This window comes from Homo sapiens, chromosome 4 (genome assembly GCF_000001405.40).
Source record: "Homo sapiens chromosome 4, GRCh38.p14 Primary Assembly".
Classification (NCBI taxonomy): Eukaryota; Metazoa; Chordata; class Mammalia; order Primates; family Hominidae; genus Homo; species Homo sapiens.
The window spans coordinates 96,211,824-96,228,291 of record NC_000004.12 but is presented as its reverse complement, the minus strand read 5'-3'; the positions used below and the strand labels follow the sequence as shown (position 1 = coordinate 96,228,291).

Here is a 16,468-nt window from a genome sequence, read left to right as displayed (position 1 = left end):
CTTGTTTTTCAATATGCCTAGTAATAGTTTTTTTGAAACCTGGACATGTATTGACTATAAAAAACGAAGTAAACAGATGTTTACTGTGAAGATTTATGTTAATCTGGCTACGAATTGGGCTGTGGTTAATGTTTACTATAATTTTAGTTGCCAGAGACTTTGTCTTCCTCTAATTTTTCCTTTCCCTCTAGTCTGTGTGTTTTCCCAAGTATCACTCCTTATGAAGAATTTGTTTCTTGCAGCTCTTTCGGCTATGATCCACTGCTATTATGCCTGAGACTTGTTGATGTGATAGTAATACATGGATGATAGAATTCTAATATTGTAAGATTATGTCTAAGTGTTTAAAGGCTGAGACATAATCTTACAATATTATAATTCTTTTTTGGTCTTTAAAAAAATCATAAATTTTTCTCCTCTTGGGTAGCTTTTTTTTTCTTCATCTTCTAGGCAAGAGAGAAAGACTAGAGCAATCTGGAGTGGCACAAATGCCTTGACCCACCTGGAATAATCCTCTAACAAAGTACGTTGCCCTGAAACACAAGGATTTGTCATGGAGAGTGTGCTCAGTGTAATTCAAAAGAGCTATTCTTCCCTACCAACTGCCGGAACCATGAGGGGATCCTTCTTTGATATTCACCACAAGGACCTCGTGAGATGTCTAGAGGTAAATCCCATAAAAGCTTTGGGGTCCTCTAAGACTACACCCCCCGGGTACCCAGAAAGTTTATATTCTTGCGCTAGTGTACACTAAACAAATTTAAGTTAGCAGTGCATTATTGGAATAGATATGTGTATTGATGATTTTTACTTTCCTCTACTTATCAAAAATTATCTTCTTTTCTTCGTTTAAATTTATAAATAACAAATCTTCAATAAAGACATAAGGACTCTTAAACTCAACTGTTTCTCATACACAGTTACAACATATGATATATTCTGCTTGTTTTTTAAAACCATAGTTGCACATTATAATGTCTGGCATATTTTCCATTTAATATTGTACCTTCGGGAGTAGGTGAGGCCAGTTAAGATTATAATAACCTCTGTTGCTATACTTTGTTCTTAAGACTGCAAAAAAAAAAAAAGGAAAAAAAAAAACCTTTGTAAATACAGTGACTAGGTTTTTTTTGATGAACAATATACTCGTATAGAAGAATTAATAGGGTAAATATAACTTTTTTTAACTACATAAGGATATTTTATAACCAACAATTGAATGTCTTCAGAGCTATTTTGAATCTCTTTAATCAACCAGTCTCTGAACCAAAATTTTGTAAAATGAATTGACTTCTACATTATATCAATATTGATTTTTACAGTACAAATATAATAATCTTAGTTGTACAACTGAATATAGTCGAAAAAATGCTATAAATAAGCCAACTATCTTTTTCTTTCTTCTGGGTATATTAAATTGCTAAGCCTTACTGAAGTACAAATTATTGAACACATAAGTATTGACATTTTCGGTGGGTGTAAAATATTCATCATACAGGACTTTCAACATTTTTACAGAATTAAAACTTTTACAAATAAAAATGAGCTAGGAGTGGGAGAATTAGCATTGGGACTAGGATGGCCTGTGCTGGTCTGTAGGCATCATGGCTCCTTGAAATAGGCAACAAATTAGACACTTCATCTCTGGAACCAAACTCCTTCATAGCAGGGTCTGAACTACCTGCCTCATGTCTATCCCCTACAGTTGCAATTGTAGAGTTGGTGGTATGTATTCTTTGAGACATAGATTTATTCATGATGATCATATGAATGAAACATTCACTTCTCTTTTCTCAGTGATTTTGTTAAAACATCTATATGGCAGTGTAATTAATACACGCAAAACTGCACACATTTAAAGTGTTCTGACATTTGTATATACCTGTAGAGCTATTAATACAATCAAGATAACAAACATACTTGCCACCACCCAAAAGTTTTCTTGTGTCTCTTTGTAACTCCTCATTGCAGTCTCACTCTCCCAAACCCCAGGGAACAATGCATTTGCTTTCTGTCACTAGAGATAAGTTTCCATTTTACAGAGTTTTATATAAAGGGCATCATGCAGTATGTACTCTTTCATGTTGCTTGGCTTCTTTGACTCACCATAGCTATCCTAGATTCATCCATGTTGTTAGAGGTATCAGTAGTTCATTCTTTTAATTTCTGAGTAGCAATTCAATACATAGACACACCACAATTTGATTACACATTTCTAGGTGAACATTTGAATTGTTTTTAGCTTTTGTCTATTACAAATAAAGCTGCTGTAAACACTCACATACAATTTTTTTTCATGAAAATATGGTATTATTTCTCTTCGGTAAATACTTAGTGAAATAACTGAGCATGTGGAAAGAGGATATTTAACTTTTTAAGAAATTGCAAAAATGTTTTCCAAAGTGGTATAATATTTTACATACTCACCCAACAGTTTGTGAGCATTTCATTTGACTCAAATCCTTATAACACTTGATATGGCCATTTTAATTTTAGACATTCTAATATGTATGAGGCAGCATCAAATTATGATTTCAGTTGACATTTCCTTAATGACTAATGATATTGAGAATTTTTTTCATAGGCTTATTTGCCATCTGTGTATCTTCTTTAATGAAATATCCATGTAAATCTATTGCCATTTTTAGGGGGTTGTTGGTTGTTTTATTATTGAATTTAAAAGTTCTTTACATATTCTGGATATAAGCCCTTTATCAGATATGCATTTGCAAACATTTTCTATAGTCTTGTCCTTTCATTCTCTTGAAGTATTAACTCTTTAACTATAAATTTCTGTCCAGAATTTTTTAAATGTACATAACTAAAAACCCCATGATATTAACTTAATGTTTATTTATCAAATAGGAATGATATTAACATCCTTCTCTCTTGTGATTTACATTAATTATCAATCATGCTTATGGTCCAAGTACTCAAATATTCCTAATCCCTCTACTTGTAAAATTTTTTCGTAAAATAAATACCCGAAATATAATCTTCATGAAATATCATTTGAAACAAATCAGATATAAGTATTTATTGAATAAGTTTTCTGAAAGAGATGCTGCCAAGTCTGAGTTTGCTTTATTAGATGATTTAAAGTATCTTATGCCCAGCCCCACTACCAATGTCACCAAAAATGTTAAGAATTAAATTTAGGGGGAAAAAAAATCAGCTTCTCATTGTTTCTAATGAAGCATGCTATCTTGATGAGTTTTTGATAAAAATAATTGTTATGAGTGATTAATTATTAATAATTCCTAAGTGGCTAGTAATCAGTAATTATTAATCATTCTTCAGGGAGACATGAAAAGGCAACAGAATATATTTATTTATTTAGACTTATGCTTTCTGTATTTCTATTTCTATATATTTATTTATCTTTACACTTACAATGCTTATGAATCCTGTTGATCTTCCTTTCTCTTGTTGGATAAAGTGTACTTTCATAAAGTTAAGAGATTTACTAAAGGGTATTTAAAACAAATGCCTATTGTGTGCCAAGAGATACTTTATCTCCATAAAGCTTCTATTTCTAAAGTGGTAAAAATGGAACAGAAGTCCTTCAGGTTCTGCCTTTTTGCTGAATGCATTGATGCTGAATAGTTTGCTACAAATATTTTAAATGTTATTTCCTGGCCTTTTGAAATAAAAACAATGACATTTAGAATGCAGCCAAATAGTATTAATCTGAATTCTCTGCCTCCAAGTTATATTCGCAATTTATCTCCAGCAGAGTTTCATGGTTAAGGTGACATCACCCAAAATGTCACTCTAGAGAGAGAGTCAGTGACCCTGTTCTTGTAGATAAAAATCCAAACAATGTAATGGGATATATTTCAAATTACAACATGGTGTATCCTAAACGACTCTCAGATTCCAAAGTGTAAGATGATATACAAGCTTCATGCACCCAAAGTCTTTGATTTTCACGTTTCATTTATATATAGCATTAACTCACTAATTCATCTTTCCCAACAAACAGCTATTAAGCACCTAGTATATTTTAGTCACTTGTTTAGTTAATCAACAACAAAAATTCACTGCTTTCATAAATCTTAAAGTCTATTAAGAATGGCAAGCAATGAAAAAGAAAATACATACATTATTGGAAGTTAAGTCATAAAGAGGAAGAAAACAGCAGAAAAGAGAAGACAAAGAGTGCTGCGTTTAGAGGTGGTATGAAATTTTCAATAGAGGGTCAGACAAGGTATCATTAAGAAGGTAACATTTTTTATTTTGTTAACCCCAAACACTTGTATAATACTATCTGCCAGTCACCATTCCAATTCCTTTTCCAATATTAACTCATTTTATCCTCATGACAACTCTATGAAGAAGGTATTATTATTAGCTGTATCTTACAGAAAATGCAACAGAAAAACAGAAAGGTTAACAATTTGCCCAAGATCCACAAAGCTGGAAGGGAGCTGAAGCATCCCCTGAACTCAGCCTGGCTCTAGGCTCCACGCTCTTAGCCATTATACCATCCTGCCTGTCTCTTCTTTGAATAAAGATGTGCAGAAAGTAAGAAGAGGGAGGGCAAGCCATATTGTTATTGGAGGAAATGTAGACTAGACATAGAGAAGTGACAAGGTCCTGAATTGTTTGAAAACCAGCATATGTGGCTGACATAGAATGCAGATGAAGGAAGAGAAGAGGGAGATCAGGTCTGAAAAGGCAAGAGGTCACATAAAAATATTGCTTTTTTACTTTGAGAGAAATGAGGAACCAGTGGAAAGATCTGAGCAGTAATGACATGCTGTGTCTTATTGTAACAGGAATATTGTGTCTCCTGTGTTGAAAATAGGCTGTGGACTATAGGAAAGCAGGACTAAATCCTGGAAATTCCGTATGAAGAATTTGTAATAATGATGAGAGAATATTCCTTGGATCAGGTGAAAATGTTGAAGGTAATGGAAGGGGTCAGATTCTGATGTATTTTGAGTCTGGCCAACAGATTGGTGGTTGATTAGTGTGGGGTATAAAAATAGAGAGAAAACCAGGATGAAACCAAGGATATTGGCCTGAATAAACAGAAGAATAAAGCTGCCATTATTTGAAACGGCAAAACTGCAATAGAAGCAGATTATGGATGGAGGCAGCTTTGAACATGTTAAATGTGATGCCTGCTTGAGAAGTCAAGTAGGCAATTGGATACATGAGTCTGGAGTTCCGGGAAGTGATCCATGCCGAGATATATAAGTTTGGGATCATCAGTGTAGTTAATATCTAAAGTCATGAAACTAGATGAAATAACCAAACCAGTTACTCTGGAGAGAAGAAGAGTGTTTCAGGAATAAGCTAGGTTAATACATGAGCCTTAATATGCTAGGTATTAAATGTAATGTGTCACACATGAAACAGCGAGAAAATCAATGAAGGGGTAGAAGCTAAACTGTTTTCTTTTTAAAATCCTGAGTTATTAACACATGTAGAAAATGCTGGCATACAAATATATATGTTGCATAACACAGAAGACTTTAAAAGTCTAAAATCCATTTGAACTTCATCTGGATAAAGGTTTATATTTTATCAGAATTCCAGATTCTCAAAATTGCTATGACATAATCAAAACTAACATCCTCCATTTAATTTAACTTCTATAAATGGTCCTCCCTTGAAGAGTCCTTGGATAGTTTGATACACAAAAGCTAGCTAATGTTGACACAAGTGACGTATAAATAAGGTAATAACTTTTACTGTATTTATTATTAAGCACAAGTACAGAAAAAGAACAGTAAAGAAAGGAAGGAAGGGGAAGGGAGAAAGAGAGAGAGAGAAAGAGAAAAGAAAGGCAGCAAAATGGATAGATGAAAACAGCCAAATTCCCCCAATGTCTATATATACAAAATTTAAATGGTAAGTTTTACAAGGAGTACCTGGATTCCCTAATCACCCTTCCCCCAATCATGTGAGTAATAATCACAGCCAAAACACACTTTCTGATCATCTGATAATAGGAAATAACTAACTATCTTGACCCGTGGAATTAAGGCTTTCTGAGAGTTGATTTTGTGAAGGAATTGGGCTTTGGACGCTTATGAAAAGCAGATGGATTCTGGGAAGGAATTAAGTGTCTGCTGGTAGGAGGGTGATGGGTTGTTTCATTAATAAAATGTGAACAGCAGGAGGATGTTAATGAATATACGCCCCCAGAACTTGCATATACAATTAATTATATGAAAAAAAACTTGTGGATGTTAATGAACAGAGGTATTTTACAAAAGGAAAGGCCAAAATTGAGGAAAAAGTCATTACTTAATGTATGGTTTTTAAAAATCAGTTTATGCTATTTGCAGTGTGGCATTGCATTTTATTGAGCTTGTAGTCTGAAGATAAGTGAAAATGTAACTAATTAACATGACTTAATATCACATATTCCATGCATTAGAATACTGACTGCACATTTAGAAATTTTTGACAGTTATTTATTTTAATTACATAACATAGTTTCTTCTCAGTTTATCAGGTAATAAGTACTAAATCTTTAAAAATGTGAACTAATTTTGTTTATGTTACAAAATTAACTCTTACGTATTTTTTAAACTAGAAACTCTAGATGAACCAAAAGAACATTAAAAACTATCATAATTCTACTGTCCAGAGATTATCACTGTTACCTCGTTCTCTTCCCAGATCTTTTCTTTCATATAAAATATTCATTTACATGCATCATCTAAAATGAATTTCAGGAGAGTGCTTCAAATATCTGGAGACACCAAAGTGTCTCAAACAAAACAGTGTTCACTTTCAGTGTAGCACAACTACAGGGTCTCTTTTCCTCATTTCAAAACCATATACATATATTTTTTTACATGTCATTGAAGCTAAGACATGTCAATGCAGAAGAATCCTGTAAAAGTAACTTTTTGGGCATGTCTCAGCATTTGCCTTTATCATTTTGCATTTACAGTTAGTGAAGTAAAGTGTCAAGAGTTTTCTGCATATTCAGCAGTCCTCTGGGATCTCCAGTTGGTTGGCTGCTCTACTCCTCCCTGCAACAGAATCAGCCATGCAGCCACTCCTGTAATGTATGGTGCATTGCCATGTGTGGCCATCCGGCTCACGATTGCCATGCATCCCCTGACATCCTAATGCAGGAAATAGGAGCGTCCCTGGATGAGTGACATTCAATTATCCAAGAAAGAAATTCTTAAAGGACCATATGATACAAAGATAAATCACCTTGGCTGACAGCTCCATTACAAAACTGACACATGGAGAAGAGAAGTAGCCCACTGGGCTAAAGGTATTCTCTCAGCCACTCCCTAAGCAATTGTGATGTTTGAGCAAGGAAAGAGCCTCAGCCAGATGATTTGGGCAAGGCCCAAGAGTCACATCATAAGAGGATTAGATTTCCCCTACAATGTCAAGCACCATGTTTCAGACATCAATTATTTGCTAAAAAAAAAAATAAAAAAGATCCTGGAGAAGCCCCTGACAAGTAAATGTAATAATTATTATTATGATATGGTCCCTGACTAGGCTATCCAAAGCTACTACCCCCACCTAGCACCTAACTACCATCATTAATCTAGAATAGATTTGTGTTTCCTTTACTTTTTATGCTTCATTTGGCACAATCCATGTTTGTTTTATTCTTTTTGTTATTATATCTCTACCAACCAGCACAATGTCTGGCACTCAGAAGGCATGAATAAGTATCAGTAAATAAATTAATACGTGAGAAGTATGACTGCCTTATGGGCTGAATACAAACCAACTGCCCCATGTTCTTACCCACAAGGCAAAGGGGTGTAGGCTGCTTCTTCTCTAAATTGATGCTGTAGCAAAAACTAAGCTCTTTGGCTTGCACTGTACTCTCCCCACACCCCCAACTATTTCCACACTATCTCCTGGCATTAGCAAGACAATGAGCTAAGTAAGACTTTTGCTTTTGTCAAAAGAGTTACTAATAGTATTAAAATCATAGGGTTATTGTGGGGTTTCAATTAGACAATGCAAATAAAACACAAAGCACTGTGTCTGGCCTAAAATAAGAGTTCTGTAAACAGTCGCTATTTGGCTGTTGGCCCACTGATGTTAGAACTCTGGGCCAGTACAATTGTCCGAGAGAAAAATATTGTTTGATTCCTCATAGGAAAGCCAGAGCATTTTGGAAGCTCCCTCCTTCACATTCATTCTGTAAGTTATGCAGCTACTTTAGAAGGACAGGTCAAAGAGGAAAAATCCTTCTGAAATGCTACCTCCTACCTTTGTTACTATGGGTAAATCATAGAATTTGAATTTAAAAGGAACTTAATGATAATCAATATAGCCTCCCATTTCATATTTGAATCCTCTCTATAATATTCTCCACAAAGTGTATTCAGCTCCCACAGCCACTTGTGAGAGGCCTGTTCCCAAATACATTCAGGAAAGGTCCACAGGGAAGAACAACGCAAAGTTGCCCATATTTTATTTGTAACACTATACATTTGACAATATGAAATTCTACACTGCATGTCACAATGCACAGTCTGCCATGGAGGGCTTACATTTCTGAAATAATCATGTTCCCATTTTGATTCTAGTAAGAGGAAATGTAATGAAAATGTCAAAAGAGGTTACCAAACGATTTAGGCACATTTTCAATTCCTGTGTTGCATTTTTAATAGTTACATTAAAAGTGAATACTGTAGGGACTCTCTCATACACACATAGGGAAAATGAGGTATTCTGGAGATACAGCTTTGATATAAGTAAAAGCTTTAAAGAGACAGCTATTTAATTATGCATTAATATAAATGTTGAATAAGAGATGTTCGGTAATGAAAAGAGACCCTATTACAGATTATATCCTACTCACCCTATTAATGTTTAGTTCCTGTTACTGGTTGTTGGGATCACCAAGGCTGGACAGACCAGAAGAACATAATTAAATCAGCTAGTTTCTTGGGAGATGGGAGGTTTGAAGGAAATTGATGTCTGTATAGCAAAAGTTAGCCATTGATATAAAATGGCCAGAGGTTCACAGTGAAGGATTGTGTTGTTTTATTGCTTGATATGTCAAAAACACTGTAGGTAGAATGAACACACACACACACATACACACACACTACTATCTTGTAGAAAAGGAGTTTAAAACTGTCAGTAATGTGGTAAAAGTTAGTTCAATTACAAGGATGCTAGATAAAATTCCCTGGATATTGCAAAAGGGCCCTAGTCAGAAGTGCAGGCAAGCTTCTTTATGAACTGAGAAATCTAAAATACATTTAACAAACGGCTACATCATGCTTTGTACTCTAGAATGCCACAGTGCAAGTTGTATTGTGTTATTTTTTACCACCATCATATTTATAAAGTAAAGTTTAAATAAAACATCAAAGCAACCTTTAAAGTTAGAAGTAACAGAAAGGCAGGATTTGGAGTGTGTATGACACAGGTGAAGACTTTGAATGTGATCTCCACACGTTTTCTTCATAGCTCAAGTAGGTACTTCCTTAACACAGAGATTATATTATAAAATGGAACTCAGGAGATACTAAAGGCAATAGGTCTTTCCTTTCTTCCTTAAGTTTTACAATCTTTGAAGAGACTTAAGTACCTATAAAGGACCACATCTTGAGACCCTTTCATCTATTTCCTAGACCAGTGGACTCCTGAATTTGGTGTGAGTATAAAATAAGAAAATAATCAAAAAAATTAAAATTTCTATAATTTGGCAAGATCATAGGATTCAAATTTAACTCTGATTTAAGGAATAAAGGTATAAATAATTATTGTACTCCCAAGTTGGTGATCTGACATATATATCAGCTACAGGTGTAGAAAACCAGTTTCTACTCCAGATGCACTTGCTAAACTAGTTGGAAAGGCAAGATTTACATGGCAAATGATAGGATCGAGATATTATGGTTTGGTATCTAAAGATGAAATGCTACAACTAAGTCTGAGTAGACCTGCTTTTGTAATAAAATTAGGTATAAAATTATGTATTCAATGTTTTAACATGTTCTTTATAACCATTCATGGCTCAGTGGTTCTTATACTTTCCATTTATGAACAAAACCAGAGTACCCCTTGCCTGAGTCATTCCATTGCTCTCTCACCATTGAAATATACTTGTCGCCTATTCTCTCCCAACTTTATTCTTCAGAGATGACAGATACATAATTTGATAAAAATCATTCTGAAGCATTATTTGCATTTCAGCACTTGGATTTCAACAAGGTATTTCATTGACCTAATTTAAAGAGAGACATCTAAGGGAGGTAATCTCAGCACTGTGGCAGGACACTAGGCAAGGCTGGGGGCAGACAGATCAAAATTTGTGTGATCACGTAGATGAAGTCCAGGTTGGGGTCAAAGTTGTCTGGGATCCAGTGCTACTGTTTGTTCTGAGTCACAGATCCCTCATCTTAAAAAACAAAAAAGTTGAAGGTGATTTTTTTCTAATACTTATCATTCAATAATTTTATTTTGTTTCCCACAACTAAGGTATCTATTCAATATCAGTCTTCTTTTCACACATACACACACACACACACAGATACACACTTTCTCTCTCTCCCTTCTCAATTTGCCCCATCCTGTCCTTCTCCAACTAAATAAGGGCTAATATATTCATTAATTAGAATATGTGAATATTCAAATAAAATAGAAACAAAGCTTCTGTCCTCATTAAGGGCTATTTTCCCAGGCTTGAATGTCAAAAGATCAAAATACAAACCAAAGACTAGAATTGTCATAATTATGTTTTATTTATTTCTGAAATTTTTGTACTAAGAAAGCTATTTTCACAATTATTCAAATTAGTGGAATAAATCTCTTGCAGTACTAGGGATGATTTTACAAATAGTCCAACCTTACAAGTAGAGTGGAAAGTGGTGTGAATACACTTAATAAGGAGAAGAAAGCCTTTGGTATAGATCGGAGCTAAACAAGCCATATGCCAAAGCTGGTAAGCAAACTGATTTTAGAATAACACAGTGAAGGGTGGTGTTAGGCAGAAATATAAAGTTGGTAAAATCTGTCCTTGGTATCTTCCTTCTTACTCACCTTTCAGTGTACTTTTCAGCCCAGGTAATCCCGTTTATCCCTGCTTTAGATTGCTTTTATTTATATTGTACTTGATGGATCTTTGGGACAACTCTATTCATCTAAGCTCATTTTCTGGGGAGATGCATGGTATAGCAACAAATCTGACTTGGAAGAGGAAACTGAACATGAATGTCTCTGCCACATTCTGTCTCCCTTTAAGAGAAGCACTCCCCCTAGACAGGTGGGTGTCTTCTGCTGTTTGCCTGCTGAATACAGGAAGAGCACACCTGTGTCGGACCAGGCTAACTTCTAAGACCCACGTTTGGAGACATTTTTTACTAGACCCCTATCAACCTTCAAAGATAAGGTAGAATAATTACCCTTACTGCTAGCTGGGTAGTGATTGCATGCTTTGTAGACCCAAAATACCCCCAGAAGAATCATCCCAAGGGCTGAAAGAAGGGAGTGGGAAGGAGGTAATAGTTGGGAACCAATTTGACTACAGATTCTAATCATGTTCTCCAGTCTAGTACTTACAGAAATGCAGCTAATATTTAGTTTTCCATTTACCTCACTCTTTTGTTCACTTATCTATCACTTCTTAACTGCAGGGTGTGGCGATGTGGTAGGAGAGAGGGTGTTTGATTAAGTGTCACCTTAATCCCTAATGTGGTCAACAATCTGTTATTAGCTGGTAAATATTTTAGCTGACACCATCTAAGGTATATATTTTTCTCATGATAACCTGTATTATCTTGAAAGTCCACTGAAAGCCTATAATGGTGGTGATGGTGTTTATTATTAATTAATATGAGAGATTCCATCTGTGGACCTTTACATATACTCATTCTAATTCTTACAACAATCTTAGAAGGTGGAAATTATTGTCTCTACAGAAAAACAGGATCAGGTAAAAGCACTTAGATAATAATTAGCTGAGCTAGAATTTAAACTAAAATACATACCTCAAAGTTGATCATCTTTTCTGAACAGCACATTGCAATTAGGAGAGATAAACTGTATATACAAATTACAATTTAATCCAGACTTTCATACCCACCATTGAGAAATGCAAATACTAACCTGAATATAAACATAAATAGTAAGAATATAAATCAGGAATACCTGAAATCACCTTAACTCGTATTCTTATTTTTTCCTTCAGATTATTTATCACAATTTATAATTAAATATTTCCATGGTTATTTAATGTTTATTTCCCCAAATGAAATACATGCTCCACATGGACAGGAATCATTTCTAGTTTCTTCACCATTGCATCCTTAGCACTCAGCTCAGAGTCTGGCTCACATTAAATAATCAATATTTGTTGAACAAACAAAAAATACTCAGCCATATTCTCACTTTTAGCTACTCCACTCTTTTCCAATGGAAAAAAAAATTATATACATGGACCAATTAAGCCTTCCTCCAGAATCTTTTTTGGATATATAGGGAGAGCATAACTTAACTGCAATTGAAAATCCAGCATAAAGTCACAGAGGAACAGAGACAATTTCCAGAATTCACTTCAATATGCCCCGCCTTCATAACTATTCTGAATCCTTTCTTCCAACATTCTTCAATGCTTTTTTGTACCACATGCCTTGCTATCCCAGACTACTGTGTCTTTTCAGAATACGACCCTTTTGACCAGGTTTCGGCGACTATGTGAATTTGTCTTCTGCTTGGAATGTTTACCTCACCATTATCAATTTGTTCAAAATGCAATCTTTATTTAAGGTGCAGCATTTACATGAAGATGTCAGCTGCTCTTTCCAGTCAAAGATAATTCATCTGACCTCCTATTAAACATCCTTAAATCTATATTATAGTATTTATCATGGACTATCTGGCATTAAAATTCACTTTATACAATTCTCTCCCTAACAGAATTCAGAGCTCTTTTGTTCCAGACGTTATATTCTCTCGGTTCTTGGTACTGTATCTTTGGCAAGGAAAATAGTCAATTAATGCCTATTAAACTGCATTCTGTTTCTTTATTTATAGTATGAAGATAATGACTAGCTTAATCATCGTGGGATGCTTCAAAATGCCAGAATCATGAAATACTGTCAATAGTTGAAATGACAACTTGTTCCATCAAGAGCTTATTTGTTTTGTCAGTCGTTTTTAAAAATGTGTGTTCTAGCAATTATTGTTGAAAAAAATAAGTGTAGAATGATACAAAAATAGGTTTCAATAATAGATGCAGATCAGATGATTATTTATAAAATTGTTTCTAAACTTGTGTTATATATTAGAAATATAATTTTAAATCAATTGAATTCTGACAAAAGAATATGCATCTTATAAGTATCATAACAGATTTACCTTTTACTATATTAGCAAACACGTTTCCAATAAATTATTTTTTAACATCAAATAAAATAGGAAAAAATTCTGGCGTTTGCCGCCAGAGTGGCCTGTCACAATTGCTGAAATAGAAGATTTGCTTAAGCTTCGTAGAAATGACAGCAAAACAGGGAAGAAAATAATATGGAAAAATGGGGTTTGTGAACTCTCTGGAGATTTTCTACCATGCACAGACCTTTGGGGGTAGTAAGGAATCTCACGGATCTAATTTTCACTGGTCATTTCATTCCAACATAGGTAAATTACCTGTCTATTACAGTTTTTATTGTTTCCTTATGACACCACTGCTTCATTCTCACACCATTGTGTTTCTCATAACCGCCTTTCACCAATTAAGTAATAAATGGAGTCAGATTCTCCCAGTAGTCAACCCTAAATTAGTTATCTTTGGAAGTTATATTAAAATTGTAACTCAAAATATAAGCACCATTTTCAGAAGCTGCTTAATTATTATACAAACACTGAGTAAATCTGACTCAACACATCTTAAATAATTGGTGCCATATATGAAGTGTTGGCTGAGTGCAACTTTCAAAAAACAAATTACTAAGTTGTCATACATCAAGATAGAGTTAGGTTTCCTCTTAGTGAAGGTACAGACTGTTCTTATGCCAAACACAAAAGCTGCATCTTCAGTCAAAGTAGACAAAGGAGTGTGCACACATATGGGTGAACTAAATATGAAGTTGTATAAAAAATTACAGGTATTTATCAGAGATTTGATATTGAATATCAAACGACCATTTCTGAGAAATTATAAAATCATTTCAGTGTGCAAGAAAAATATTTACCTAGAGGAGGTAGGTAAATTAAGAAGATAGTGTAGATTAATCTTTAAGAAAAGGTGGGATGGAACAAGTTGCTTTGGGGATGTCCATGTAATAGCTGTGGTTATTTTCCCTGTTTATTTCATATACCCTTTTCCGATAGGTATCATTCTCCAAGGGTGGTTCACAGATTCTTGAGGATTTCTGAGACATGTTCAAGTGTTTGCAAGGTCAAAGCTGTTCTCATAATAGTGCTAAGATGTTGTGTGACTTTTTCATCATGATGATATTTGCACAAATGACAAAAAGCAATAGAGGATAGAACTGGTGGTTCCTTAGCTTAAATCAAGGGAATGGCACTGAACTATGTTAGTTTAAACCATTGTATTTTCTACTGACATGCACTCATGGGGAAAAGAATTCCACTTTCACTTAAGGTTGTTAAAATAGTAAAAAGTATTAAGTTTATTAAATTACTAATTATATTAAATCTACAATCTTGAGTACTGTCCTTTTTTTTGAGGGAACCAAGTGTTTAGCGTATACATCACACTTTTAATGCAGTAAAAAAGTTATAAGATTTTAATAAAGGATGTGAAGTTCTCTCATTTATACTCGTTCTTATACAGGGGTCATAAAAAGAAATTAAAGAAGTCAAAATATGGTTCGGTATAAGGAAGGAATGTTCTCATGGGCATTGGTTTTCAGAGGTTGAAGAAAGTGAGGTTCTCAACTCCAGAAGTATTCTAGGACAGGCTAGATCATATTTTGGAGGGGTGCTACAGGCTCCCTGGCATAAAGGAAATAACACACTGCCTGAACTTGGAATGAATAAACTACAGTCATTCCTGCATTGAATTTCTTAGCAACTTGCTTTCCCCCAGGTCCACAAATTTGGTCACATAGTCAACTGAATAAAAGCTAAGATTCTCAGAACTGATTGAAGCTAGCATACGTATTTTGCATGACTAGATCAAATATAAACAGGTGAAAAAAGAAAAGAAAGGATAAGAGAAGGGAGGAGAAGAGAGGGGAAGAGAAAGAAAAATAAAAGATCATTTACTCTAAGAATCCAGGTTTGTTTTTATGTCCAATGAGGTCCAAGTTACAGCTGGGCTTGAAATCCACCAAACTCACAAATTTTCTCAAAGGCTAAAGGGTGGGAGCCATTCAGATGTCCTCCCTGAGCCTGAATATACAGCAAATGCAGCTGCACAAGGTCCCTGGAATCTACAAAGTGATCAGAGTAAGGAAGTTTCCATCTAAGCTGCAATGTTTCATTTTCATCGACCACTTGTTTTCTGAGTGTATAGCTGTAATCCAGCTAATTTTGGTCATCCTCTATGTGAAGTTTGGCCTTCAGCTTCTCCATTTCCTTCTCATATCATAACAGTGTCCTGTTTATTTGGTTTTTGTTTTTGTTTTGGGTGTATTTACCCTTCCTCTTTCTTTTCTTCAATAGGTAATAGGATTAAGAGTAATCTTTACAGTTTATTATTTCTATTCTGCTGCAAATGGTAAACACGAGTTCCCTAATGGTCTTAGAGTTGTCTACCGTCACTATTTTCATGGATCTGTTCAGCATTAGGATTTTCTGAGGTTTCTGTCTCTTTATGTAAATGAAAACATCCCCATTTTGCAACATATAGTAATTTAATATTCTGCCAGCTTCCAGTGAAATGCCTTTCCTCACTGGCATTGAGAAATGCCAGTGAGTCTTCCTCAGAAAGAAACAACCCATAGTGAGAAACCTGGCCAGCGTGTGCCTTAGGGACTCACTCCTGAGTGACTTGACATGCATTACATAGACTGATTTGGCTCACACTGCGTGGTTTTCACCATGTTGCAGTGGCAGATGCAAACCTTCAAGGACAGGCCCACCATTTTCTAGGTGATTTGAAGGCTCTCACTAAGAATTTCTTATTCCTCATCTGGCTTCTACCCAGAATTCCACTGGAATCTATTCTGGCCAGGGTTACTTTTGTTTTCCCTGATGATAAAGCAAGTGTTCACTGTCCAGTCCTTATCTGACTGCAGGGAAACTGGACAACACTGACCATTCCAGTGGGGTCCTTTCCATCACTCTGTGACCCCTCTTTCACAGTCTCCACAGGCTTTTCTCCTATGTTTAAATCCCATGTTCCTTACTTTTTCTCCTAGTCCCTCTTCTCTTCCTACTCCACACCATTACTCTGTTGATCTCATTCACTCTAGGGATTTGCATTTCACAGATCTGCAGATAAAGATCTGACCTCTTCTCTGTGTGCTTTATACAAGTTTACACCATATTTCCCCAAGATCTCTTACAAGCAAACCAAATTCACCTTACAAAAAATAAA

The 16,468-nt window shown here is 35.0% G+C and overlaps 1 pseudogene, besides 1 other annotated feature; it reads right to left on the bottom strand.

Annotated features, from left to right (window-relative positions):
- Positions 284 to 830: an enhancer, noted in NCBI's record as "OCT4-NANOG hESC enhancer chr4:97148613-97149159 (GRCh37/hg19 assembly coordinates)". NCBI's record gives its function as "activates a minimal SCP1, AML or CMV promoter by ChIP-STARR-seq in primed H9 embryonic stem cells {active_cell/tissue: H9 hESC(primed)}" and the evidence as "EXISTENCE:reporter gene assay evidence [ECO:0000049][PMID:30033119]".
- LOC100418701 (talin 2 pseudogene) lies at positions 15,193 to 15,537 on the bottom strand (annotated as a pseudogene).